The 27,785-nt window shown below is 42.9% G+C and overlaps 1 protein-coding gene across 1 annotated transcript in view, besides 1 other annotated feature; it reads left to right on the top strand.

Annotated features, from left to right (window-relative positions):
- Positions 1-27,785, top strand: part of SPOCK1 (SPARC (osteonectin), cwcv and kazal like domains proteoglycan 1) — a 524,029-nt gene that overhangs the window by 162,637 nt on the left and 333,607 nt on the right. The gene's annotated exons all lie outside the window — the stretch shown is intronic.
- Positions 16,437-16,936: an enhancer, noted in NCBI's record as "H3K4me1 hESC enhancer chr5:136655443-136655942 (GRCh37/hg19 assembly coordinates)". NCBI's record gives its function as "activates a minimal SCP1, AML or CMV promoter by ChIP-STARR-seq in naive H9 embryonic stem cells {active_cell/tissue: H9 hESC(naive)}" and the evidence as "EXISTENCE:reporter gene assay evidence [ECO:0000049][PMID:30033119]".

Here is a 27,785-nt window from a genome sequence, read left to right as displayed (position 1 = left end):
TAATCAGGAGGCAGAGAGGGTAGTTTGTGCAGCCTGATTGCTGACCTCACAGAGACTGTTACCAGGAGCTAGAGAATTAAGGGGGCCAAGAAAGCAACTCTTGGCCTCTTCTCTCTCTGTTCTCTGCTTTCTGCTCTGCACTGCTCTTTCCTGAGCCTGGATTTACCTGCTTTACCAGGTACATTGGCAGCAAATGTCTGTCCCACAGCTCTGGAATTTATAGAGCCTTATTTAAGATTAACAGTGGAGAGCAATAGTACTGTAAATTCCCATTCCTGAGGTCAGAGGAGAGAATAATTGGGTCAGCTGTGCTGCCCACAGCTCCAGCAGCTGTGATCTGAAAGGGGATGGTGGGTTCTGGAATGCAAACCAGGCTGCAGGGCCTGTCCCTATGATAGACACAGGTCAATGGTAGAAAAATGCTGATGAGCTAAGGATACCACCCTCAAGCTTTCCTCTTGAGGCAATCAAGGAAACTTGCCGTCTGCTCAGTTTAGGATCCTTCTCCAAACCAGCAAACTGCAGGATTGGCCTCAGCTGACCCTTGTCCTCAATCTTAACACCAAGGATGGAGAAACTCCTGTGTTAGCATGGTACAGAGTATTCATTATTTTAGAAAATTCTGTAAGTACTGTAAAGTACCTAGAGAGCCAGTGTGTGATATTAATTTTGAAGGAGAGAAAATCATTAGGGTCTGTGAGTCCTCTGTTACGGTAAGACTGTGTATTCCAAGAAAATAAAGAGCCTTTCTCACAGGGGAAAAAAAGAAGCATTTGTACAGATAGGCTGTGTTCTAGATTGGCGATGGGCACCGCAGGGCTCATGCTTTATAATGTAGTTCAGTTCCTGTCACCTGTATTTGATTGACTTGAACATGCTGAAATTTGTTCCAGTGTGTTAACAGGGGACTGGTGTGTGTGCACATGCAATATGCAAGTTAATTAACGTTTGCTTTCCCTGTGCAAGGCCTGACCCTTTCTGGGGACACATACAGTGGGCCTGATGAGGGGAGGGAGGTGTGCTTACTTGAAGAGGGAGGCCTTAAATCTTTCAGATCCCTGAGTTTCATAATAGCCATTAAGTGTCTGCTCAATTGCAGAGGCCGTAAGCAGTGTCGTCTCAAACTTGGCTATTAACTCTTCAGTTATGTACTCTTGGCCAATTATTTCATAGGTGCATTACTAAATTACAGCATCAATTTTTGATGATGAAAGCAAGTGCATATTCATGATAAAAATTTGGAATACACAGGAAGTATAGAGAAGAAAGTGAAAAGCACCTGTCATTCCACTACATAAAGAACAATTACTATAAACATTTTGGCATATTGCCTTCTCTTATTCCTCTGAAGCCAATGTGTGCTGATGCATATTTTTTAAAAAACAGGAGCATATGATTTAATACCTGGTATTCTGTGTTTTTTAACCTGTATTTCCCCATATCATTAACTACTCAATGAATGCATCTCTTTTACAGTTTTATTGATGTGTAATTTAATTTCATAGTATTAGCCCATTTTAAGTATACAGTTGATGAATTTTAATAAAATTACAAGTTTTGCAACTATACCACAATCCAGTTTGGGAACATTTCCATTGTCTTCCCAAATTTCCTGAGATCTCACTTGTACCCTAACCCCAGGCAACTGCTGGTCCGCCTTCTGTCTCTGTAAATGTGCCGTCTGTGGACATGTCATAGGGGTGAAATCTCTCCACAGGTAGTTTTTGGCATTTGGCTTCTTTTTCTGAGCATCACTAGTGGTATCCCCCTTAGTGACGGGTACGCCCTTGGGTGCAACACCAAAGTGCAAATATCATACCATCGGTCAGTACCACCTGTTTTCATTGCATTGGGAACCACAGTCTGAAGGCTGTGAGCATCTCTCCTGTCAGAGAAAGGCAAAACAGCAAAGGTGTTTCTCCTCGGGCAAGAGGGCAGCGATTACAAATGTTAGCAGGACTGTGAGGAGAAAATGAGGCATCTGTGTCAGCATCTCTCTGACCTCAACAGGGGACCTCATCTTAGAGCCTGGGTTATTGCTTCATTCTGAACCGAAGACTGTGTTACAGCTATTGATTTTTACCATGAAGGTTATCTTTTGAAACCACAAGGCCAGAAAAACATTGTCTGCTTTGGAGAGAATGTGGAGCACCAGAGCAAGAAGCACAGGGAACGCGTTCTGCGACCAAACCCTCCCACACTCCTGGAATTGAAACATTTTTGCTCTCCGTTTGCACTAGCTAATTAGAGAGACCTTTCTCAAACCATTTACTTTCTTGCACGGAGCTTAAAGGACTCCCCAAACATCTTGTTGGAATGTTTACAGCCTGTCTGCCTTCAGACAGGTGGAAATGATATAGTTCCTTTTGGCTGGAACCCTGTTCATATATTTGAAAGAGGAAAGCTTTCGAAAAGTCACCTCTTCTATTAATCTCAGCAGAAAAGAAACTTGTTTGGACCCTCATACACTTTGTCAGCTGGAGTTCAAGTTATGTATCTGCATTGTTTTGAGGCAAGTCTGTCTCATGCAATCTGTGTACTCTTGTGAAGACAGCGAATTTTGTACAGCTCACAGCACAAGAGCCAGGCAGAAACAGGGAGGGAGAGAGGAATGCCTCCATTGGCAGAGACCCCTAGAGAATAGGACTCCATGGGGATCTGACGGGGCACCCTTTAAACTCCCTTGTCAAGATGGAAACTACCCAACCTGCTTCATGTTCACAGTGATGCATTGGACATGATGTTTATATAGCCTCCAACTCATGATTGTTTTTGTCTTTCTTTTTTTTGTTAAGTAGTAGTAGAGGTCATTGAGATTCATCTCCCAACAAACAGACACATCTGTTTGGAAAAATCTCACACTTCTATTTAGTGCTCCCAGAAATCTTTATGTATTTATAGATTTAATGTGCATATTTCAGTGTTCCTGAGAAATGTAAATTCTCGGCTTTGACCAGATTACAGTTACTATTTGTTTCCAGCAACTTGGGTGCCGGGCATACAGCACATCCTTGCCAAGTACCAGTGCCTGAGCACTTGAATTCTGAAGGATCTCTTACTGTCTTGGCCTGCAGATAAGAGTTTCTCACTTGTGCCTTGAGATCCTGTGTGTTTCTTTTTTATCAAAACATCCTCAGGCCCGGACTTATCAGGAAGACCAGAGCAGATGTCCATGGATGAGACCAGGGAGGCTACTTCATGTCCCCGATTGGTCCCTAGTGGTGGCCAACATGGGGGTCTCAACCTGGGGAGGGCCCCAGTGTCTGCTGGAGGTCTTGTGGCCTCCTGACTTGGCTCCCTCCTCCTCAACTCTTTTCCCAGTCCCTCCTGAGCTTTTTCCCAAGCTTTCTAGGACATCATGTTCACTAAGTCACTCCTTTATCCAAAAGCCTTCAGTGTCTTCCCTTTACCTATAGAATCCAGACCTAGCTCTCGAGCCTTAACATGTATTTCTAGCTGTTGCTTCCTAGTCCTCTCAAATTATTGTCCTACACAGCTTTGTACACTTAGGCCCTTTTGCCTGGTGGGCTCAGTGATGACTTTTCTTTAATGTGCATCAGAATCACCTGAGCATGTGATAAAAACCACAGACTCCCAGGCCCAACTTCTGGGGCTCTGCTAGTAGGCAGGGAGTTGACCAACACCCCAGGTGATACTGATGGAAGTGGGTTGGGGCCACACTTATGCTGCTCTGGCTTTTGACATCTATCAATCTGTGCCACTTTTTAGAGTTTGACTGAAGTCCATTTTCCCTGGGTAACCTCATCTCTCCCTCTTGGACTCTCCCTCATTTTTGCGGCACTCATTATTTGTGATACTCACTTTGCACTTAGCCTATTTTGCCTTGGACCATGATTTCAACGTTTGTTATATATGCATTTTTTCAGCAGACATCTGTCTGTCTGCCTCTCTACACACACACAGTTGCTTCTCGGCCTTTTGGATAAGATCAAGTGTAGTATCTACACACATACATATATATGAAAGTGCTTTCTATTTGCATGACACTGTATCATCTGAAAACACTTTTGTATGTATTCCTTAGCTCCTGCAGAGCAGAACCTTTGCTATCTGCACAAAACGTGGCACATCCCCCTCCTCCAGCCCATAGAAGTGGAGAAGCATCCATGGTGCTGGCCAGCCAGTCGCTGTGGTAATCATACAGGGCCTGTTGAGATAAGCAAAGCAGTTTCTTTCAAGCATTAGGCAAGTGTTACTGACGGCTGGTTTTGTGCTAGGTGCTCTGTTGGGGGCTGGGTGCAGAGCGCAGATGGTGGATGAAGCACACAGAGTTCTCGGGGTGGGAGAAGATGAGCGATGAACCTAAGCAGGAAAATTACTAATTGTGATATTACTGTGAGGCACCAAACAGGGCTGGAGTCTTAAATAATGGGCAGGAAGCCCTCTCACAAGAGGGAACTTGTGAGCTCAGGTCAAAGGGAGGGGCACAGTCTTGTGAAGAGGGCTGGGGGGGAGTGTCGAGACAGAGGGAAGGGTGGGGATCCCAGGAGGAAAAGAGCATGAAAAGCTGGGTGCCTGGGGAGGTTGGAGTGGAGAGCTGGGACGTGGGAGCCTAGGCAGGGCCAGAGAGGGGAAAAGAAGCCACACTGACCACCTGGGGCCTTGCAGGCCTTGCTGAGGAGTTTCTATCACTGGCTTTCAGGTGTGTGTGTTACTTTGAATGTGGGGGAGCGATGTGATCTGGGTTAGTAGAACTTGAATCTGTAAATAATGGCTCTATTTCAACAAGTCAGATGAAATCAGGGTGGAACTTGAAGGTCAATGATGGGTCTGGGGAGTGTTCTGTTTGCCTGGGATGTGCTGCGGCAGGTTGATATGTTTTGGATTGTTGTCCCCTCCAAATCTCATGTTGAAATGTGATTCCCAGGGTTGGAGATGGGGCCTGGTGGGAGGTGATTGGATCGTGGGAGCGGATCCCTCCCCAGTGGCTTAGCACCATCCCCTCGGTGATGAGTGAGTTCTGTTAGTTCACCAAGACCTGGTTGTTTAGAAGCGTCTGGGACCTCTCCTTTCTTTCTGTCTTGCTTCCCCTCTCACCATGTGACATGCCTATTCCTGCCTCATCTTCCTTCATGAATAAAAGCCCCCAGAGGGCTCATCAGAAGCTGAGCAGACGCCGGCACCATGCTTATACAGCCTGCAGAACTACGAGCCAATTAAACTTCTTTTCTTCATAAATTATCCAGCCTCAGGTGTTTATAGCAATGCAAGAATGGCCCAATGCGCAGGTCTTTTGGAGTCATCTTCTCTCTTGTGGGCCCTAGTGAGGGTCTGATTGTGGTGCTGCATGCCCTGGGAATGAGTTAGGTCTTCTTGGCCACACTTTGGCAAGTCTTCCAGTTGCAGGGGTTCAGAAGACTCTGGAGTTGGAAGACGTCTTATGGATCCCTTTGTTCACCTTCCTTATTTGAGAGATGACAAGGCAGACTTAGGGAAGGCTGGGACCTATGGCTGCAGCCTTGCCAGTTACATTGGTGCTCCTTTTTCTCACCCAGAGGAACAAACAGTCCCTTGGCCTTAGACAGGGTAGCATGAACACTGCTGTACAGCTGAGTGAAGAGCAGGCCTCCTTTGAATCTCTTGGGAATCACAGTGGATGCCCAGGAAGTTCAGTTAGGCTAGGAATTTGAATCCTAGCTCCACCACCATTTGCTGATTACATGGCTTTTGGAAAGTCATTTAACATCTCTCCGGCCTTCTCCTGTAAAATAATAGTACAAATACATACCTTGCAGAGATGTCAGGTGGATTAAATCGTATAATGTGCATAGTACTTATCACAGTTACCTGATATAATAGGTATTCAATAAATGGAATGCTGAAAATACCTATGGCTGAATAGTGCTTGGCTTGTGTGACTTCCTTAGATGAAAGCTATAATTATCAAGGTGAATGTGGGACTGGGAAGATCTTTGCAAAGATTCACACAACTCCTTCCTGGCAAACTGAGAGAGGTTTGGTGGAGTGCATTAGAACATTGAGCTCATGTAGGCATGGCCTCATCTCTTCATCTCAGTCTATGTCTGGCACATAGTAGTTTGTCAATATGTATTTGTTGAGTTGCATGAGTGGATATTTTTACTATCAAGAACTTAAAGCAAGTTACATACCTAAGTATCAGCCTTGCATTCACATTCACTTTTAATTTTTGCTTCTAGCTTTCTGTGTGAATTTTTACAATGCATCTGGTGATAGGTTTGGAGCAGGTTCGTGTCTTGTGATCTGAGAGATATGTGGCTTTAAAATAAATGCTGATGCATTTAAGGAGTGAATTAAACTGGCCTTATCCTAATCTAAAGAGGTAGTGTCAGTCTGCATTTTGGCCGAAGCTGGTGGAAGGAGCTGGGAAATGCAGGAGGATTGTAGGTATGTAGCCCTCACCATAAAAGCCGCTCGCCACTGACAATTGCAATTATAGTTTCCATCCCCACAGTGTCTGGGGGGTCTCTGATTCAGCCAGCCAAAGGTACTGAGTGGAGATACAGGGCAGCAAAGTGGCAGGAACATAAATATTATGAATTGGGCCCATAGGTCATCCCTTAGCTCCTGTGCTTTGGGCAGCTCGTCATGATGAAATAGCTAATTTTCAGGAGCAGTGGCCTGGTGGGAGGCCTGGCAGAGCAGAGTGAGGTCTCAGGTCTGCTTCCCATGGGACATATAATAATGGCTGATCTGGATCCAGCTCATGACAGTTAATTCCCACTGAGCCTAGTTTGAGGGCCAGGGGAGCCTGTCTTGTAAATGAGAGACAGGAACTACAAAGAAGGTTCTGACCCCAAAATAGCATTTCCTTCTACCATTTGTTCAGTCTCTTTCAGATCCTTACCTAGATTCATTTAGGTGAGGAGACCTGTGGGTGATATGCTGAGTGAGCCATGCAGATGGCTTCTCGAGCTTGCACTGTGGGATAGCGTGTGTGCGCAAAGGGATGTGGTGCATTAGAGGAGCCAACAAAACAATAATGCAGAAAGGTTCTGCAGGGGCATGAGGGCACACCGCTCCTCTGTGTTCCCTTCTCCCTCCCCACTACATCCCACGCTTTGCATCAGTTCCCATTTTATTTTCACAGCAGTGCTTTTTTAGGTTGGACATTCCTCTAAAATTTAGTTTTAAACACTGGCTTATTGCATGCTTAGTGTCCAAATGACCCATAAAAAAATCTCTACTGTTAATGAAGGCTTCAGTTGGATTTCTGTGATGCAAGGCATCTGTATTAGGGTTCTCCAGAGAAAAAGAACCAAAAGGAGATATTAGGAGATATAGACAGATAGATGTGTATGTGTATATATAGGTGTATATATATATAAATAGATTTATTATAAGGAAGTGGCTCATGTGACTATGGAGATTGAGCAAGCAGGAGACCCAGGAGAACCGATGGTGTAAATCCCAGTCTAAGATTTGGTAGGCTCAAGGCCCAAAAAGAGCCTATTTTTCAGTTCCAGTCTGAAGGCAGGAAAAGACCAATGCCCCAGCTCACAGTTACGCAAGAGGAGCTCCCTCTTCCCTAGCCTTTTTGTTCTATTCACGTTTTCAATGGACTGGATGCAGCCCACCCACATTGGAGAGGGCCAGTCCACTTTACTCAGTCCACTGATTCAAATGTGAATCTCATCCAGATACACCTTCACAGACACAGCCAGAATCATGTTTCATAGAATGTCTGGGCACCCCATGACCCAGTCAAGTTGACACATAAAATTAACCATCACAGCATCCAAAGGCTGGGGCGGGGTGGTGAAAGTGTGCCAGCTGTTTCTGACTTTATATACCATTTCCAATTCCCAAAAGAATTGCAGGTAGCAAAAACAGTTTTTAAAAGATCCCATGGTATACAGAGACGATGTCGTTTAGAAGTAGTGATGCAGATGGCTTGGGTTGGTGGTGTGGTTCTGCCGCGTACTGATTGTGTGATCCTGGCATGTCTCCTAGCCTCTCTAAGCTTCAGCTATCTCAGCAGGAAAGTGCGAATGAGAATAGCACCTGCTCCTTAGGATTGTTTTGAGGAGAAAATTAAATAATTCATATAAAACACTTACCATTGTGCCTTGGCCTGTAGCACACTGGCTGCTGTTAGAGCTGTGTTCTGCATTGAGAAGGAGAGCAGTGACTAGCGTCAGTATTAAGTGAACACTGTCGGCCTGGCACGGCGTTAAATGCTTTGTCTGTGTGAACTCCCTTCTGGCCTGCCTGCTCAGGAGCTAGGTTCAGGTCTTAGTATCTGACTTGCTCTCTCCCCTGAAGACCACATGGATCATATTTTCTCTTCTGGGTTTTTTCTTTTGTCATTTAAATGAGAGATTTATTTCTTGGGGAGGGCATAGGTCATCCTTGCAAACTTTCACTCTTCCCAGTCCATCCTCTTCCCGCCATCTCTGTCCTCAGAGTACAGATGAGGATGGGCATATGGCCCGGGAACTTGAGGCCCCTGACCCAGGGACTTCAGTAAGTTTGCCATCTATCTGGGTGAGATGTACAGATTCTACAGAATCACATGGTTGCCCTTCCAGTGGTTTACTGGCACAGATTTATTGGTCAGTCCAATCATTTTGCACAATTTGTTCTCCAATTACTGGCAAAGAGTTCAGCTCTCAGTGGGATGTCAGGCAGCAGCAAAGGCTGTGATGAGCTGCTGCTGTTTCCACCTTAAATGGCTTCACAGGTGGGCGTGGACCATGGATGGTTAATTCCGCAGTGTGATCTTAAGAATCTGAGGGGTCTCTGTAGGAACAGTGTATTCATTTTTTCCCCTTGCTGTGGCTTTTTTCCACTGTTTCTTTGGCTTGAGGATCTGGATTATTTCCCATGTTAGGAAGGCCCACTCTAGAACAGACAAATGGGCATGCCTTTCCAGCAGCTCATGCATGTGTGTGGCAGGACTCGTCTATGATTTTGGTTCATTTTCTTCACCGCGACTCTAAGAGCTATGTGTTTTTATTATTTTCTACCTTGCAGATGAGGAAACAGAGGCACAGCCTGGTTATTTGCTTTGTCTGAGGTTACACAGCTTGTGTGTAAAAATTAAGTCTATGTTTCAAGAATGTACTGGCCTATTGGAACAGGAAGCAGCAAGACACCATTGAAAGACTCATGAAAGGCTGGGGAGCTTCCTCTTTTCTGGAAGATTAAAACCGAAAGTCTCAACCACTGGTATCTCAGTTTCCCTGATGGCAAAATAGATATAGTTGTATTGGTTTCTGCCAGTGCCACAGGGATATTTAACACTTCGTTATGTTATACTCTAGAATCTATTTTCTTATTTGTTCATGTGAGTTGTTTATAAGATTATAAAAATAAACCTGTATTTTTTATATCAGAAAAATTAAAAGTTACTAAAAACTGTTAGTTTTTGGTAACATCAGTTTTCATTATTGGGATATACCCAATGATAATAACTACAGCTGGCACTTACTATGGGGAAGGCAGCATTTTAGGTGATTAACTCATCAGGTCTTCAAAGCTACCCTGTGCAGCAGACACTCCTGCTGTTCCCATTTGACAATAGGTAAGTGGTAGAGGTGGGACAGGAAATCAATCGGACTCGGAGTGTGTGCTCTTAACCACAGTACTCTCTCCCTATCCACATCAGGAAGCATAACTCCTGGGCTTTTCAAAAAGTTCTGTTTAAGTCACTGATGAATGAACATTTTTGTTTGTTTGTTTGTTTGTTTTAGAATTTAAGAGAAGTGTATTCAGAGTGAGGCTCTTTTGGATGATGTCAGAAATAATGAGGTTTAGTACAGTATGTATCAAAATACACACCACTTGAGGACATCCTGAGAGAAATTACTTGTTTGATTTTTCACAATGGGCATAAACACAGCGGAATGATAGATGAGACAAATTCAGGTAATCTCCAGATTAAAATTCCGAACAGTCAAATAGTATTTTTCTGTGAAAGGTTGAATCTCCTGATAAGCTCCAAATTATATTCCCACCTTATTTGAGAATATGTGTTGGCAGGTTTAACAAGATCTTGGCACATTCTAATTTGAGATTTATTACAAGATGTGTGCATGTTTAATAGGGCCTTAATTATTCATATCCACATCTTCCTGACAGTAACTTCCTTCAGCTGTAGATAAATTCCTGGCACATTGGGGAAGATTGGCTTTTGCTGTTAAAAAGATCCAGTGAAAGAAAAATCAAATGCATATGCAAGAAATTACCCAGGGCAACCAGCTCCTCTCAGGCTGGAGCTTGTCCTTCATATGGGATTGCCAAGCAATCTCTTCTGTGCCCCTGGACTAGGGAGCAACCTGGTGGAATAGAAAGAGCTCAGGTTCTGAAGGTAGGCTCACCTGAGGTCAATTCTGGTTATAGCCTAAGAATCGAATGCCTTTGGCCTGATTTCTTAAAGTCTGCAGGATCTAGATTTTTTTTTTTTTTGGATGCAGAAGTAGGTACCTCATGCCTCCCTTAAAGGGTTGATGTTAGGATAAATTGAAACATCTGTCAATTGGGAGGGGTGCAGTGTATGGTACGGGGAGTACTGAATGGGAGCTGCCTTTTTTTCATTTCCTCTTCTCCTATCATCAGTGCTTTGAGTCCATCTATGGATATTACACAAGATATGACACAATAGTAATTATCTTTTATGGAAATAAAGGGAATACGGTAAGAAGTGCTGGTAAAAATGTAGGGAAATAGGTACTCCCAGATGCTGCTGATGAGTGGGAATTGGTGCAGCCCTTTTAGAGGTTGACCTGTTGATATCAATCAGAACCAAAAGGCCTCAGGGCCTTTGCACTCGCTGTTTCCTTTGCCTGGAATGTGTTACTCCCACATGTCTGTGTGGCTTTCTCTTTATTTTAGCCCTTGGCCCAAATATGACTTAGAGAAGTCATAGCTGGTTGCCCCGTGTAAACTACCACTGCCCATCACTCTGTGGATTGCTTATGCCACTGTTTTCTCCGTAGCTCTTAATATTTCCTGGTATTAACATATGCATGTGTGAGTTTGTCTGTCCATCTCCCCCACAAATGAGAGGTCTGAGAGGGCAGGGGCCTTTGATTTGCTCCTTTCTGTGTACCCAGCACTGAGAGCAGTGCTATGTCCAGCACAGAGTGGGTGATTCATAAATCATTGAGTGATATAATTAAAAGTTACTGCCTTGAAGTTCTGTTTTGGCAGACAACTTCAGAGAGCTGGGCTGTTAGTTTTTAGGAAGCATGTACGCAGAATTCTTCTTAGCAAAGGCATCAGTGACTTAAGAGAAGTGTTTGTATACAAGATCTGGCTCTCTTGATGAGGAGGGTGTTGGGGTACTTTGTTCTGGCCCCAAAGCACAAAGGGCAATGAACTCAGTGGCCAGAAACCATGTGGCTTCCTGATGAGAGAAAGATGAAATTTTCCCGATTTGAGAAGGGGTGTCATGCAAGGGAGGGCTGGTATGTTTTTAAATATCAAGGACATATATTGAGAGATAATACCATAGCTGATTGGTAAATAGTTTTTTCAATCAAAAACTTTTATTTTCACTATTTTGAATTACATAATTAAGCCATTATTTTGACAAACTCTTAGCCCAGTTGTCCCCCATCCCAAAAACCTTTCCTCTCGGAAAGACAGAGCTGTTAGTTTGCCATATCTATTTCCAGACATATTTTTGTTTGTTTATACACACATATATCAAACTCAAGATCTGCAGGTGTATTGACAATTTAGCTTCCTTGGTAAGTGCAAACCCCTCATTTTTTTTTTTTTCAGGATTGAGCCGTCAAGCTTGTCTGCACAGCTTAGTGTTGGTGATGGTCTGCTCTCTCTGTCCCTTTGGAAACGAAATTTTGGGGTGGGGAAACCTGCTTGCAAAATGGGTTGTGTTCAGATTCTTTGGAGATTTCCAGCTTGTACAGGAAGTATAGCTTTTTTTTTTTCCTAATTGTGGTTAAAAAAACAAATAACATGAAAGCTACCTCCTTAATGAAATTTTAATTGTACCATTCAGTGTTATTATATGCATATTGTTGTATGGCTGAAGAACTTTTTCATCTTGCATGACTGAAACTTTGTACTCATTGAATAGCAGCTCCATTTTTCTTCTGCTTCATTCTGCAGCCCCTGGAAACCACCATTCTACTTTTTGTTTTTAAAGTTTAACTACTTTAGATATCCCATGTAAGTAGAATGATGCAGTATCTCCTCTTTTGTGACTGGCTTGTATTATTTAACACAACGTCTTCCAGGTTCATCCATTTGTAAGATTTTCTCTCTCTCTTATTTTTGAGATGGAGTCTCCTTCTGTCACTCAGGCTGGAGTGCAGTGGTGTGATCTTGGCTCACTGCAAACTCTGCCTCCCGGGTTCAAGCGACTCTCCTGCCTCAGCCTCCTAAGTAGACAGGATTATTGGCACTCATCCCCACACCTGGCTAATTTTTGTATTTTTAGTAGAGATGGGGTTTCACTATGTTGGCCAGGCTGTTCTTGAACTCCTGATCTCAAGTGATCCACCCACCTCTGCCTCCCAAATTGCTGGAATTACAGGTGTGAGCCACTGTGCCTGGCCAAAATTTTCTCTTTTTTTAAGGTTGGCTAATATTCTTGTGTATTTGTACACCACATCTTACTTATCCATTCATCCATAGATGAACACTTGTGTGGTTTCCACCTCTTGGCTTTTATAGATCATGCTGCATTGGACATGGGAATGCAAATATCTCTTTGAGATCTTGATTTTAATTATTTTGGGTAGATACTTGGAAGTGGGATGGCTGCATCATGTGGTAGTTCTCTTTTTAATTTTTTGAGGACCCTCTATGCTGTTTTCCGTAATGGCTGTACTAATTTACACTATCTGATAATATGTGAGAGATTCCTTTGCCCCACACCCTTGCCGACACTTATCTTTTGTGTTTTTGGTGATAGTCATTCCAGCAGGTTGAGGTAATATCGTATTGTGGTTTTAACTTGCATTTCCCTGCTTATTAGTGATGTTGAGTATTTTTTTTCCCATACATGTTGGCCATTTGTATGTCTTCTTTGAGAAAGGTCTATTTCAGTTTTTTAAAATACCCATTTTAAAAATTGGGTTGTTTTCTTGCTGTTATTTGAGTTCTTGATATATTTTGGATATTAATCCCTTCTAAAGTATGGCTTGTTATTTTTTTTTTCCCCTTCTGTTGAGCCCATGTCATGTCAATGTTTGTTTCATATATTTGGCTCCTCTAATGTTAGGTGCAAATATAATTATAATTGGTATGTCTTCCTGGTGAATTGGCCCTTTTATCAATATGTGATGTTCTTATTTGTCTCTTATGACAGTTTTTGACTTAAAGTCTATTTTGTATGAATACATATGACCACCCTGTTCTCCTTTGGTTACTTTTTGCATGGAATATCTTTTTCCACCCTTTCACTTCCATCCTGTGTGTGTCCTAAAATCTAAAATAAGCAAATAGTCTCATTTTCTTTTAAAAAAAATCCATTAAACTACCCTATGTCTTTTGATTGGGGAATGTAATTCAATTTCATTGAAAATAATTACCAATAGGGAAGGACTTACTATTGACTTTTTGCTATGGCTTGAATATGTTCCCCAAAATGCACATGTTAAAAACTTAATCCCCAGTGCAGCAGTGTTTGGAGGTGGGGCCTAATGAGAGGTGATTAGGCCATGAGAATGGAGTGAATGAAATAACAGTTATTGCACGAGTGGGTTTGTTATAAAAGGGAGAGTTCATCTTCCTTTTACTCTCTCTCTCTTGCTCTTCTACCATGTGATTCCTTTCACCATGATTCCTTTTACCACGTTATGACATAGCAAGAAGGTCCTTACTAGATGCTGGCCCCTCAGTGTTGGACTTGCCAGCCTCCAGAACTGTGAGAAAATAAATTCCTGTTTATTATAAATTGTCCAGTCTCAGGTTTCCTGTGATACTAAAATGGACTAAAATGCACTTTGTTTTCTGCCTGTCTCTTAGTGTTTTTGTTCCTTTTTTCCTCTTTTGATTTTTTTTTTGGTAAGGATATGCTTTGATTCCTTTCTCATTTTCATTTATGTATCTTATGTAGGTTTTTTGTGGTTACATGGGGCTTATTTTACAGTTGTAATATCTATTTTAAGCTGATATCAGCTTAGCTTCAGTCACATACAAAAATTCTACTCTTTGACTTCTCCCCTCTGTTTTGTTATTGTCACAAATTACATCTTTTGTATTGTGTATCCATTAACATACCTTTATAGTTATTTTTGTATTTTTGTCTTTTAACTTCTATGCCAGAATTAAGTGATTTACCTACCATTGTTAGAGTATTACAATATTCTGTATTTGTAATATTTATATATTTACCTTTACCAGTGAGTTTTGTGTGTGTGTGTGTTTTTTTTTTTTTCCTTGAGACAGCATCTCACTCTGATGCCCAGGCTGGAGTGCAGTGGCACAATCATGGCTGACTGCAGCCTCGACTTCTTGGGCTCAGGTTATTCTCTTACCTCAGTCTCCTGAGTAGCTGGGACTACAGGTTTTGTGCCAACATGCCTGGCTAATTTTTGTATTTTTTAGTAAGAATGGGGTTTTGCTATGTTGCCCAGGCTGGTCTCGAACTCCTGGGTTCACTGCCTGCCTCAGCCAATGAGCTTAATACTTATATATGCTTTTATGTTGCTGACCAGTGTTTTTTAGCATTCTTTCTTTTCAACTTGAAGGACTCCATTTAGCTTTTCTTATAAGGCGGGTCTAGTGGTGATAAATTTTATCAGCTTTTGTTTATCTAGGAAAGCCTTTAATTTTTCTTAATTTTTGAAAAACACAGACACACAAATCTGGATTGACAGTTTTCTTTTTCTTTTTTTTTTCTTTTTGACAGAGTCTCACTTTGTTGCCCAGGCTAGGGCATGATGTTGGCTCACTGCAACCTCTGCCACTGGGGTTCAAGCAATTCTCCTGCCTGACCCTCCTGAGTAGCTGGGATTACAGTCACCTGCTACCATGCCTGGCTAATTTTGTTGTATTTTTTTAGTAGAGATAGGATTTCACCATCTTGGATAAGCTCGTCTTGAACTCCTGACCTCGTGATCCACCTGCCTCGGCCTCCCAAAGTGCTGGGATTACAGGCGTGAACCACCGCCCTGGCCCTTTTTTTTCTTTTTTAATCACTTTGAATATATCATCCTACTCTGTTTTGGCCTGCAAAGTTTCTGCTGATATATACACTGATAGTCTCATGGAGACTCCTTTGTATGTGATGAGTTACTTTTTTCTTGCTTTCAAAATTCTCTCTTTGTCTAACCTTTGACAGCTTGATTATAATGTATCTCAGTGTGGACTTTTTTGGGTATGTTCTGATTGAGATCTATTTGGCTTCTTGGATTTGGATGTTCATTTCCTTTACCAGAGCCATTATTATTTCATACAAGCTTTCTGCCCCTTTGTCTGTCTTTCCTTCTTCTGGAATACCTATAATATACCTATTGGTCTCTGTGGTGTCCCATAGTAGGTCCTTTAGGCTTTCTTCACTTTTTTTTTTTTTTTCTGGTTGGTGTTTCTATGACTGAATAATTTCCAATGACCTGTCTCTGAGTGTGCTGATTCTGTGTTGCTTAAACAGTTCTGCTCTTGAATTATTCTAGTGAAATTTCCAACTCAGTTTTTGTGTTCTTCAGGTCACAAATTTCTTTGGTTAAAAAATACTCTTTTTCATTTTACAGACACTCTCATTTGTTTATACACAATTTTCCTGAGCTTGTTAAGCATCTTTATGGTGGCTATTTTGAATTGTTTATGAGATAATTCATATAACTCTTTTTCTTTAGGACCAATTTCTGGATATTTATTTTGTAACTTTGACTGGGCTGTGTTTCCCCATTACTTTGTGAGCCTTATAATTTTGTGTTGGGATTTGCACATTTGAAAACACAACCACTTTCCCCAGTCCTTATGGTTTTTCTTATAGGGAAAGACCTTCAGCAATCAGCCCAGCTAGAGATTCCAAGCGTCTCTTAACCTTTTGGGGAGAGAAATCTTTTCTAGGCTTGTGTGTGTAATTTCCCATTTAGAGAGATTTGCTGGTCTCTTTTTCAGGCGCTTGTAGCCTCTTGCTCCCTCTGGTGTCTGTATGAGGTATTTCAGGTTTTCTGGCGCTTTTTCTGGCATTGAGCTCTTTTCTGTTCTCTGGCTCCCAGGTATCCAAAGTTTTCTAAGTCTGTCAGCACTCTAAGTCAGGCAAAACAGAAACCACTCCTTCTAGCAGCCCTTGAAAAGCCAGAACACAATATATACATTCCACCCTTCCTTTCCCTCCCAGTGGAGAAGCCATGAGTTGGGTGCTTTCTGAAAATTGTGGCAAGCTGTGCTGGTGTCTCTGTGTGATACTACAAGTTCTCTGGTGCTGCCACAAGCTTCTGAGCTCTCTTTTGTTCTCTGTGGATACCAGGCATCCAAGGTATGTCAGTTTCCCATCAGCACTCTGAATCAGGCAGGACAGAAACCAGTCCCTTGGGCAGTTTCCTGAAAAGCTGGAACATTGGAAGTGTTTCAATTTCTTCAATTTCCCTCCCAAGGGAGAATCCACAAGTTGGACTCTTCTTTTTGATCATGAGCTGTGCTGGCTTGGGAGAAGGATTGATGCAGTTGGAATAAAATAGCTTTTTGTTACCCATTTCAATGTAGCTGTTCTTGATTTTGAGTTGCCTGGGGTACTGTGACTTCCTAACTGAATTCTGGAGTTCTCATAAAGGCTTTTTGGATCATGTGTTGTTTTTTTTTTTTTTTTTTTTTTGAGACGGAGTCTCGCTCTGTCGCCCAGGCCGGACTGCGGACTGCAGTGGCGCAATCTCGGCTCACTGCAAGCTCCGCTTCCCGGGTTCACGCCATTCTCCTGCCTCAGCCTCCCGAGTAGCTGGGACTACAGGCGCCCGCCACCGCGCCTGGCTAATTTTTTGTATTTTTAGTAGAGACGGGGTTTCACCTTGTTAGCCAGGATGGTCTCGATCTCCTGACCTCATGATCCACCCGCCTCGGCCTCCCAAAGTGCTGGGATTACAGGCGTGAGCCACCGCGCCCGGCCTCATGTGTTGTTGTTAAAGCTGGTGTTTCTGTTGTGAAGTGAGCTCTCGGGTTTCCTATTCTACTGTCTTGCTGATGCTACTTAAATAAGAAGGATAGTTTTATGGCATTGCATAAAAGTGTATCCTAGCATCACTCTACTGAAAACATAACTAGTTTTATCATTGATGCCTTCCAAGAAACCATTTACAAGTATTAAAAGGACTTGCTCTTGGAGAGATGTCAATCTGTTACTTATAGTGAACAATAAGCATATTGGAAAAATGTGTTAGATGAAAGAAAGGGGTAATGAATGGTTTTAAATTAATAGATCTTTCACCTAAAGCTAGCCATGGAGCATTGCTTGTAAATCAATTAAAGGCCAAAGGAAATATTCATCATTGAATTATATGGGTTTTTACCTAGAAGAATTTCCCTCAAAATGCAATTTCCCTGGAAATCTGTGAATCCTCAGTTCTCTGATGAGAGGCAGCTTAAAATTCAGCTGGGTAGTTTCTGTGATGTCTCAAACAGGCTCCATAACCTTCATGATATATAGTCTTGGAATTTGTGTGTGCCTCCTCTTTTCTCTGAGGGCAGAGATTGGACAAACTTGAACTGCTGATATAGAGAAAGTGACTTATGTTTTTTAGCTTTCAACTGCACTGCTTGGCAAATTTTAGGGGCTAAAGCATGAATTGTATGCCCTGGATAGAATGACATCTATTAAACGTCTTCTGTCACTGAGCAAGTCTGTGAATGAATGAACTTTGATTTCCTACAGAGAAGCAGGTGAATCGGTCAGTAAATCCACATTATTGAGTGTCTCTGCCCTCAGCAGCATGTCTTGGGATTAGGAAAAATTTTATCTTGACCAAGAGAAAAGTTTAAGGAGGGCCTGCTCTGTGCTGTCTCATATATGCTCTGGTTTTTAGAGTCTTAGCTTTCTCCCCAAACACTTTACTTTCAAAGAAGGGAAAATTAAACAATAGGCAATACTTGTTTCATCTTTGAATTCCCATTAATCAAAGGGTAGTCTCCTAGTAACATCCTGGATTTGTTTCTATTTCCACTTCAAACCCACTTGGCCATCTAAACAATTATCTGGCTCACCATCCACCAGAACCCTAGTTACAGGGAGAGGAATCTCGAGCACTCTTACCTCTTCTCAAGGTACTGAGAGGGATTCCCAGGAGACTGGGCTGAGAAGACAGACAAACCCCTCATTATAATCAGGTGGTCCCTCAGTGCTGCTACCTGGAAATAGGAATTCTGCTTGACATTCTAGACAATAGAGCCATGCTTTTTTTATTATTTAAGGACAGCCTTTTCTTTCTTCTCAGGTAGTCGACAGCTACCAATTTAAATGAGCTGGGTTTATGGATGGCTGCAGAAATCCTCTTTACTCAAACCCAGTATCTATCCATCAGCCACTGCGCAGCACTTTACTGTGGAGGCAGCGGGGGGACAGCTCATCAGAATCGCCCCAGTGGAATGTTACGATAGGAAAAAAGAGGAATGGATTACATATTTATGTGGTCTTTGAAAATGCAGTGGGACAGGAAGATTGCTTGTAACGTATGCAGTTACATTAAATGACTATTAACCTTCACTGGTTGCAGGTGTCTGGTGAATTCATTTGTGCTTGTGTATGTTGTGTGGCTTGAAAAATTAATGAGACTTTTTAAATAATCAAATTAAAAGTATTTGTTACTCCAGGTTCTGGTGAGCTATCAAAACAAAACTGGGTACAGCTTACAAAAATAAAGTGTCTACTGAGAAGAATAAAAATATGAATTGAGGGGGGAAATTGATAGCTATGCGGATCTTGGAAACTAGTTTCATCTGATGGAGTAAAATAAGAGAAAATATGCCCATCGTGACTAGTTTTATTTGTAGATTATGGTTAGTGAATTCTCTCTTTTGTCATGAATGCTTCACATTCTGGAGGAAGGAGGTGGCCTTGCAGTAATGTTTTATTTCTGTGAATGCCAGACTTTTCTTCAACCTGTTGACTTGTAGGGTTGACGTGTCAGACATGGTGAAGAACAATACCTGTGGAGCTGAGCCTTCATTTCCTGAAACGTGTGTCCAAGAGGCTTTTTTGACAAGGATGTTTTAACTATGCTGTGTACACCGTTAGAATTTCAGTTTTGTTTTTAAACATTCCCATCTGACTGGAGCTTCCCTCCATCCATTCCTGAAACTCACCTATTCCTGATCTGCTGAAGCCCATGTCCTCTCCAGTGTCCTGCATTGCACCAAAACGGCAGTAATATAGGTCAGGGACGAATCCCCTGAAGTCCCTGAAGGTTGGAGACCACCAGATCTCACTACCCTTACTCCATGGCCAGGAGATGGAAGGAACAAGGAAGAAAAGGCTTCCAGCAATTTCACTGTAGGACCTAAAAGCAGAGGCTCTTTCTGCTTCTTGACTGAACATTTCTTACAAAGCCCTCTGTGCTTATCTAGCTGTAGTGAAAACTGGGAGGGAGACAAGGGCTGTAGTTGGTGACCAGAGACTCTCCCCCAGGATACCCGCACTCACCTCTGCCAAAAGACATGCCCCTCTGCCTCAGCCAAGCAGTAAAATCAAGGACCATCCATGTTGTGCCCAGAGGCCCTTGGAAGAAGGTGGGCTGCTTGATCTTCCTAGCTGAGTGGCCATTCAGAGCTCTTATCAGCTTGGAAAAAAGAGTAATCCTCAGAAGGATTCACAGTGTCACCCTTCTTAGATGATGAGGCACCATGGGGGCTTTGGTTCTTAAATGGATCTCCTCCAAAGGCAGGTAGATTTGTTTTCCAGTGGGCACAGAGCGGGCCCACGCTGAACACAGAAATGGTGTTATTCTAACTGTTAAATAAGAAAAATTACATGTTGTGAGTTAGGCTAATTGATCTGCAGAATTCTGGTTTCCTGCAATTTAAGACTCTGTCTTGGGCATGAATGAAATATTCAGAGGGCAGAGGAGCTAGAGATGAAAACTGCAAGGAAAAAAGTAGTTAGAATAAGGTTTAACTTGTACAGTTCTGAATTCCAGGGATTTAAGAGTAAAGGCATCCAAAAATACTCCTGCTGCCAAGGCCAGGTTGTCAATAATAAACTGTGAGTCACAAGTCCTGGTTGTGGGCCTGGAAGCTAGCAGAGAGGGGATTCAACTGGCAGGTTCTCCAGCTCTCAGCCTTTAGCTCTTCAGGGCTGAAACTTTGCTCGAATTCCTTGAATCACATGATATCAAGGACCAGGAGGGAGGGCTCACATCATAGCTGAAAGAAAGGACAACCCCAAGTGCTCAGGAAAGACAAACTTCTTTTTAGAACATAAAAGGATTTTTTCTAGCTAGCCGCTGTGATTTGAATGCATCACTTCCCAAATTCAGGTGTTGCTCATTTGATAGCATTCAGAGGTGGGTCCTTTGAGAGATGATTTGAGGGCATGTCCTTCATGAGTGGGATTATGACTCTTATAAAAGAGGCTTCACACAGTAGCATTTGGCTCTCGTCCTTCCACCATGTGAGCACACAGTGTTCCTCCCCTTTGGACGGTACATCCCTCCTTGGATGCCAGATGCTATCACTTCAATCTTGGATTTCCCGGCTTCCAGAACTGTGAGAAATGAGTTTCTGTCCTTTATAAATGACCCAAGTCTCAGGTATTTTGTCATAGCACAAGTGAACGACCAGCCAAGCCTTCAACAACTAGCGGCTCACCTCTCAGAAGGCAGTCTGCTTTCCAGTGGCCTTGGCATAACCTGGGAGCTATCAGAAAGGCTGACTCTCCAGCACCCTGCCCCCAACTCCCCTAGGACCTACTGAGTCAAAATCTGCATTTTAATAAGATCTCCTGGGGATTCATAGGCACCATGAAGTCTGAGAAGCAGAGAGGGACGGATAAGTTGTCTGTATCATTTCAGCAGATCTTCATGGGAACCTACAGCCTGCCTGCCTTGCTAGTGCTGGACACAGTGGGAGGAGACAGACACTGTGCCTAGTCTCAGGAAGCTAACTGTCCAGAGGAGAAGATGGCAAATAATGATCATGAAATGACCTCAAAGGGGTGTTTGTGAGAGCCTTGAGCCATCAGTGCAGCAGGAGGCCACTCGATGTGCTCTGGTGGCATGTCCTGGCATGGAGGTCTCCTTTCTCTCCTGTGTAAAACAGAGGCATTGAAGGTAAAGTGCTCAGTTGCTCCTAGCTACTGCTTCTCATGTATCAAAGTGGAGATGGTGGGGGGGTTGTGGGATGCCATATCTGCTTCACAAGGCTGCTAAGTTATTCATCAAAAGTTTGCTGAACCTGTATTCTCTATCCATCGCCATACGTGGTTCAGAGTTGAAGACAGATCCTTGGAACTCATAGCCTCATGAGAATGACAGATGAGATGGAGAGAGAATTACAGTTCCATGGAGTACAGCCCCATGGAATATGAAATACAGAGAGTCACTGAGGATTAGTGTTGAATTCTGTCCATGGTGAACCTTGGAAGGCTTCCTAGTGGAAGGAGATGGATTTTTAGCTAAGACAGTGAAACTATTCCTTGACATAGTTCTAGTTCTAGCTTTTGCCATTTTTTTTCCCTATCAGAGAAGAGTAGGGACCTGTCGGGATTGGCAGGGGTAAGCAGACAGGTGAGGGTTCCTATTTTAGAGAAGCTACAGGATTTGGTGCATACTGAAGCTGACTTTGGTGCATACAGCCACTCTTTCAAATGTTCCTGAAGACAACTCATTTCTGCTGGGTATTGAGACTGAGCTGGTGCATGTAGGTGGACAGACAGTTTTAAACACTACTATCTCAGTAAAGCCAATTAAAGACATGGAACTGGCTGGGGTTGTCCTGAGAGCCTAATTTATGGAGCACCTGCTTGGTGCTGGTGCTGAGCTCAGGATGAGAGGCAGTGGAGGAGTAAAGAGAACATGGAAAACGTGGTCCATGCACTCTAAAACCTTTAAATATGGCAGGATCCCATATGTCCTTTTAAATAGAGCCAGGCAGTAAACCGATAGCTAAGGACTGTAGCTGTGGATAAACAATAGACAGGTGACAAATACTGATACTGGCTACTTTTCATAGAGAACAGAGTGTGTGTTCCTGGCACTCTGCTGGGTGCTTTATAGATGGCATTTCTAATTAATTTTTTGAAAATCCCCAAAGCAGGTTTTATTATCTCTGTTGTACAGGTGAGGAAAATGAGACTCAGAAAGCTTGTCATTGGAAGAACTGGGGTTGCAGTACAGGTTTGTTATGTGCCAAGTCCTGTCTTCCTTCTGTGGAATCATGTGTCACTTCTAAATCAAGCCCACAGAAGCTGGTGGAGATACTAGAGTGCAGAGATGGTAGCGTTTGTGAGGCTGGAGTTTGGAGGCCTTTGAACTGGTATTAGAAAGTAAGAATTGTCCCAGTATCATGTGAGAGAATGATGTTTTCTGGTCCTTATTCACTGATGAGCAGTGATGTGCCTGGTTGCCTTGTTAATTAAAATGAGCCAAGAAAAGGAAATGAGATGGGCACTGCTTGTCCTCAGAGACTGTCAGGCTGGGGAGGGGCTGGGGAGAAATGGAGGGTTAACTGGGATAAAGCCCCTGGGCAGGAAAGCCTAAGGGGTAGAGCTCAGAGCTTGAGGCCAAACTGAATTGAGATGATCTAGAGACAAGGAGCTCTGAGAGGACGATGGGAGGAGAGCTTGGATGTCTGCAGGTGGGTGTGGTGCAGGACCATCTGGGAACACAAAAAGCAGGCTCTAGCCAGAGTCTCCTTATCTCCCTGTTGTGAGCGTATGTCAGTTCTGCTGCTGCTCTCTTCTGTGGGAAGCATTTATAAAGGGGTTCTTCATTTCCCCCAGGATGTGGAGCCTTGCAGTATATGATCAGAAAGAGCTAGGTAGGAAAATGGTTCCTTTTCCTGTCATGCATGAATGCAACCCTTTTGTAAATGCCCTTGGTCCAAGGAGCTCTGGAAGAACTATAGGCAGCAGCTGGGTAGGGTAGGGTGGCCTCCTGGCCAAGCAGTGGGTTGTAGCTTGGATAGACTTGGATGATTGTTTTCCCCAGAGCATCTATATTTGTGCAAAGTAGCAATATGTTCTGGGAGCTTAGAAGAATGGGGTCAGGTTCATTTTAAGAGGAGGTAGGAGGCAGGCTGGAGCCTGTGACTCTCCTATGGATCCCTTCTGAGGCTGCTGGTGTCCTTGTTTTGGGTGGGTGTCACAGGTGCCCGGCCTGTGCCCTGATGATTTCCTGAGACCACCCCTTGCAGCAGGTAAGACACTTTCTGAAGCAAAATGCTGGGCTTTACTTTTCTTCTCTTTAATCTTTTTGTCCTGTCAATGTCTGGCTCTTCTGTGTGCCCATACCTCATCCCTACTTCCAACTAAATGATTGTAGTGTCCTATCAATAAGGCTAATAGAATTAATGAGTATAGCAGGGACTGGCTTATGTGTTGCTCCAAAAGTATAATGCTTTATGTTTATTAAAACACACACATCTCCACTGGGCTTTTAGGAGAGACTCTAACTGTGGGAATTTCAGGCACTTTTGGGAATGGATGGTAGGGACACATTTTGGTCCAGGTAACTTAACCCCACCCTCTGTTACCCCAAGTAGGTGGCATTGTGTTCTCCTGGGTCTAGCCTTTCTTTTACTGTAGGAGCTGCACGGGGAAGACAGCAACCCAGGATACTCCTGGTTGGGATTCATGTTTACCTGCCAGTAGGAAAATGGGCCTGTCCCTGGTTGACTGTGGCCTGATGGTAGCTGTCATCCTTCAGATCTACACAGAAGTGGGCATTCCTCCTCCAGTAGCATTTAGTCTTCAGAGAAGTCCTCCTAACACAAAGGAATCTCCTGCAAGTGGACAATTTACTGGATGGGGATGATGGGAGAGAGATAGAAGTAGGATTTTGGGGCAGAGAGAGCATCTCTTTTCAGAACCTCTATACACAGCCCCTGTGGGTGCTTTCCTGTCCACTGTACCCTATCCACTGTACCCTACTCGCTGTGTGCTTGAAGGATGGGCCTGCTGCTCCTGAAAGAGCACACATTCCAACCTAAACCACCCCAGATTCCTGACAGCTGTGGGCTCCTGCATTGGCACTTCTTGGAATAATATAATTCGTAACCCAGCATCTGAATTTAAATTAAGAGAAAACAACAACAACAAAAAATTTAAAAAAAACAACCAAAATTCTGGTCCTTCCTCACCAGTGTGGTGACAAAGGGTTTTGACTGTTTATGGCATGGTTTTCCTGAAGGCCTCAGCAATTTTTTGCTTTATTCTCCAACCCTCCTGGAGGAGGTCTCTCTCATTTGAGTGCTGTGGGGATGAGATCAAGCAGATCCATGACCCTCTGAGGTCCCAAGACTAGGCCAGACCCTGGAGTCTGGAACCTGTGACATTCCTTCCCTCTCCACCTCTCCTGACAGCAGGCTGCCTGGGACCAGGCATGGTAAGCTCTTTCAGGCCAGCTCTGCTGCTAGGGATTTAAGGGAGTTGAGTTTGAATATTGAGCCATCCCCTAGGGGGTTTCCAGGCATTTATTGAAATGAGATGTGACTAGGATCTCTTTGAAAAAGAAGTACCCGAAAGAATTGGCATATTAATGGAGCTACGTGCCAAGCAATGAAAGTGTCTCCACATTTTCAAATACCTGGGTACCTGATTTTTCTAGTTTGGGGATAGAAATGGAAGACTAACTTTTGTCAGACAGTAAAGCCTAATTAATTCAGGCGAGCTAAGTAAATTAGGGCACAGGCATACACTGCGATGCTAGGCAGCCACTAAAATGATGCTGTAGAATATTTAATGATATGAAGCAAAGTTCATGCTTTATTAAGTGTAAAAAGCAGGTTACAAAAGACTGGGTACAGACTTATCCTATTCTTTCATAATTAAAAAACAGTATACAAAAAGACTGACTAGGCAGACATCAAAATGTTAACAGTGATTCTTCCTGGGAGTTCTGCTTTCAGGTGATTATTTTAAAATTTTTACATATTTATATATTTTTCAGAGTATACATGATATTTATCAAAAGGAGAAAAGTCAATAAAAGTGTACACATGTGCTTATGTGTGTGTAAAGATTAGACTGAAGGAAAAGAGCGGAGTAGATAGTTTGAAATTATTTAAAATTATGTTGGACACATTACTTATGCTTGCAGATGAAGAAACTGAGGTTTAACAGAGTGGGAATATCCTTATCTGTTATATATGCTTGTTGTAATTATTTATGGAAGAAGAACATTTGTAAGGTATCCAAGACAGTGGTATGTTTTAATACTCCCCAGGTGGTTTTAATATGCGGTCCAGATTGAAAACCAAACATTAGCATGGTGGCTCAGGAACAGACAGAAATTTGCAGTCACCCTCCTTCCCACCCCTCAACAAGAGAATGTAGGGAGGTGCTTAGCACATAGTAGGTATCCAGAAGATTCATCTTTTTTTTTCTGGGATCAGTGCTTTTGTTCTGGTTAAAATTAAACCATGACATTCTGAAGCCAATGGGGAAAAGAGATGACTTTGAATTTATCCCTTTTGGATTATCTCTGTTTGTTAAACCAACACTCAGAGGCTCTACCTTGTGGCCTGAGATCCTAGTACCCATTTGGAAATGTGCTTTTTAAGAGGAAAACACATAGATTTTCAGACTGGCCTTCCGGAGGTTTGCTCTTGAATGAGAGAAGGGTTCCCCAAGGCCTGTTCCCTCACAGAGGGTGCCTGTGTTAGGGAATTGAGCAGTCCTTCTGTTCCTTTGTCATGAGGGTCAAATTGATTTTAAAGCTGTGTGTTACCTGCATCTGGGGGAGGTAGCTTTTTCTTCTGTTCAGCATCATAGTTTCTCATTTCCTGGGTGGCTTTTGCAGTTTTACATGGATGTTATTCAGTAGAAAATAGCCAGTAAGTGTTCTCCAAATTATTAATTCATTAATAAACCCATTAAACCCTTGCAGCTTTGCAGCAATTAATGATGAGGTCCATCCTCCATTGGAACTGTCATTTTCAGATGCAGATTCCCACTTTGTTTGAGTGGAACAGGGCAGATATAGGAAAAATGCCAAAGAGTTGTTGGATGACAGGGCTGGAGATTTTTGTGCAAATTCTCCTTTCGTCACAGAAAGCAAGTTCCACAGAGGCCAGCTCATCAAGTATATGTTGCTGTTTTGATGATTAATGATTCTGGCATGTTGATCCACCCTACTTTCTTCAAAACAATTATTTCAACTGTAGTCTCCTCTGGGGAATGGCTTCTTATAGCTAATAACTCAGTAGACGATATAAAATTCTTAAATGAGGATGACACTAGCATGGTTCCACCTGGATGCCATTATGCTGTGGTGTTTATAATTACAGCGAGGTCTGCTTACTTTTTTCCTGAGCTCAGAAAAGCTTGGTGCCATTCATTTAAATGGGAGAGACAGGAACTTCTATTTATAGAGACTGCCCATGCTGGGAGCTGTGTTAAGCACTTTGCGCCTACGTTTTCTCATTTAATCCTTTTAAGACTCCTTTTGAAGAAGGTAATGTCTTTTCCATTCTACAGAACTGGCTCAGAGAGGTTCAGTAACTTGGCTGAGACACACAGCTAGTGAGTGGTGCCACCTGAATTGGAAGAATCACAGGATCCTGGCTTGAAAGTCTATGCTCTCTTTAGGCTTTTGTGCCTCTGGGGTTATTGTACAAAGAGGCAAGCAATTTTGAGTGAAGGTTCCTCGGTAACTAGATTAATGATGTATATGTGGAAAAAGAGACATTAAGTAACAACTATTTATAGAATGCCTATGACATGTGATATGTCAGACCCTCTTGGAAAAGTAGAAACTATAAATTGAATGGGGGGTACTCACTGTTTGAGCACCTCCTACTTGGGAGGCATGATACTAGATGCTTCACATGCATTTTCTTATTTAATCCTCAGGATCATTCTATGTGATAAGTCTCTGTAGCCTTAACTTAGAGCTCAGCGAAGATAAGTAATCTGCACACATAGAAACACAGATTTTAAGTGGCAGGACCAGGATTTGGGCTCATTTTTGAGTTTGTTATTAACAGATAATTACAGTGAGTGAGAATCAGGTTATAGCGCACTCAACCCATGACAGAGGATCAATGTACTCATCAGACACATAGGATGTGTTTAGTGCATGTCCCAAGAGGAAAGGAGCAGGCACTGGGTGGAGAATAACAATGCCTGGCTGAGAAAGTGGGCAAGGCTTCAGGAGGAGGGGAGGTTTGGTTTGGTTCCTAGGGAGCTGGAGTGGGCTCCTGAAACAGGTGGTGAGGACAAAGGCCTGGAGACCAGGCTGGGGCGGCCAAGAGGAGCCCACAGAGGAGGTGCCTGGCACCTGGGACCCTGAGCAGGAATTCCAGGAACTCTTTGCCCTTCTCCTTATCCATACAGTTTTCTTATGGGCTCTCTGCTGCCCCTCTCCTTGTGCCAGGAACCAGTTTGGAAAGCTGTTCCCCTTGGGAGTCTCTCAGTGTTACAGAGGAGAAAGAAAGATGGCAATGATGTATGCATCCTTCACTTCACACTGAAGATCTATCTACTTTTAGATGACTTTTTCCCCAAAATGCAATGGGAAATTTTTTTTTGTTCTGATATTAAAGCAATTCCTACTCATTACAGAATAATCAAATTCTTTAGAAAAGCACAAAGAAGGGGGAAAAAATCCAGCATCTCACCACCTGGAGATAACCACAGTCAAAATGTTATGTATATTTCTCCAGTCATTTTTTTTAAGTGTGTAAATGTGCATACTTCTCAACGTCTGCTCTCTGGGTAT

Source organism: Homo sapiens, chromosome 5, assembly GCF_000001405.40.
Source record: "Homo sapiens chromosome 5, GRCh38.p14 Primary Assembly".
In the NCBI taxonomy this organism is placed as follows: Eukaryota; Metazoa; Chordata; class Mammalia; order Primates; family Hominidae; genus Homo; species Homo sapiens.
The sequence above is the reverse complement of the archived record's forward strand: the minus strand, read 5'-3'. Positions and strand labels throughout refer to the sequence as shown.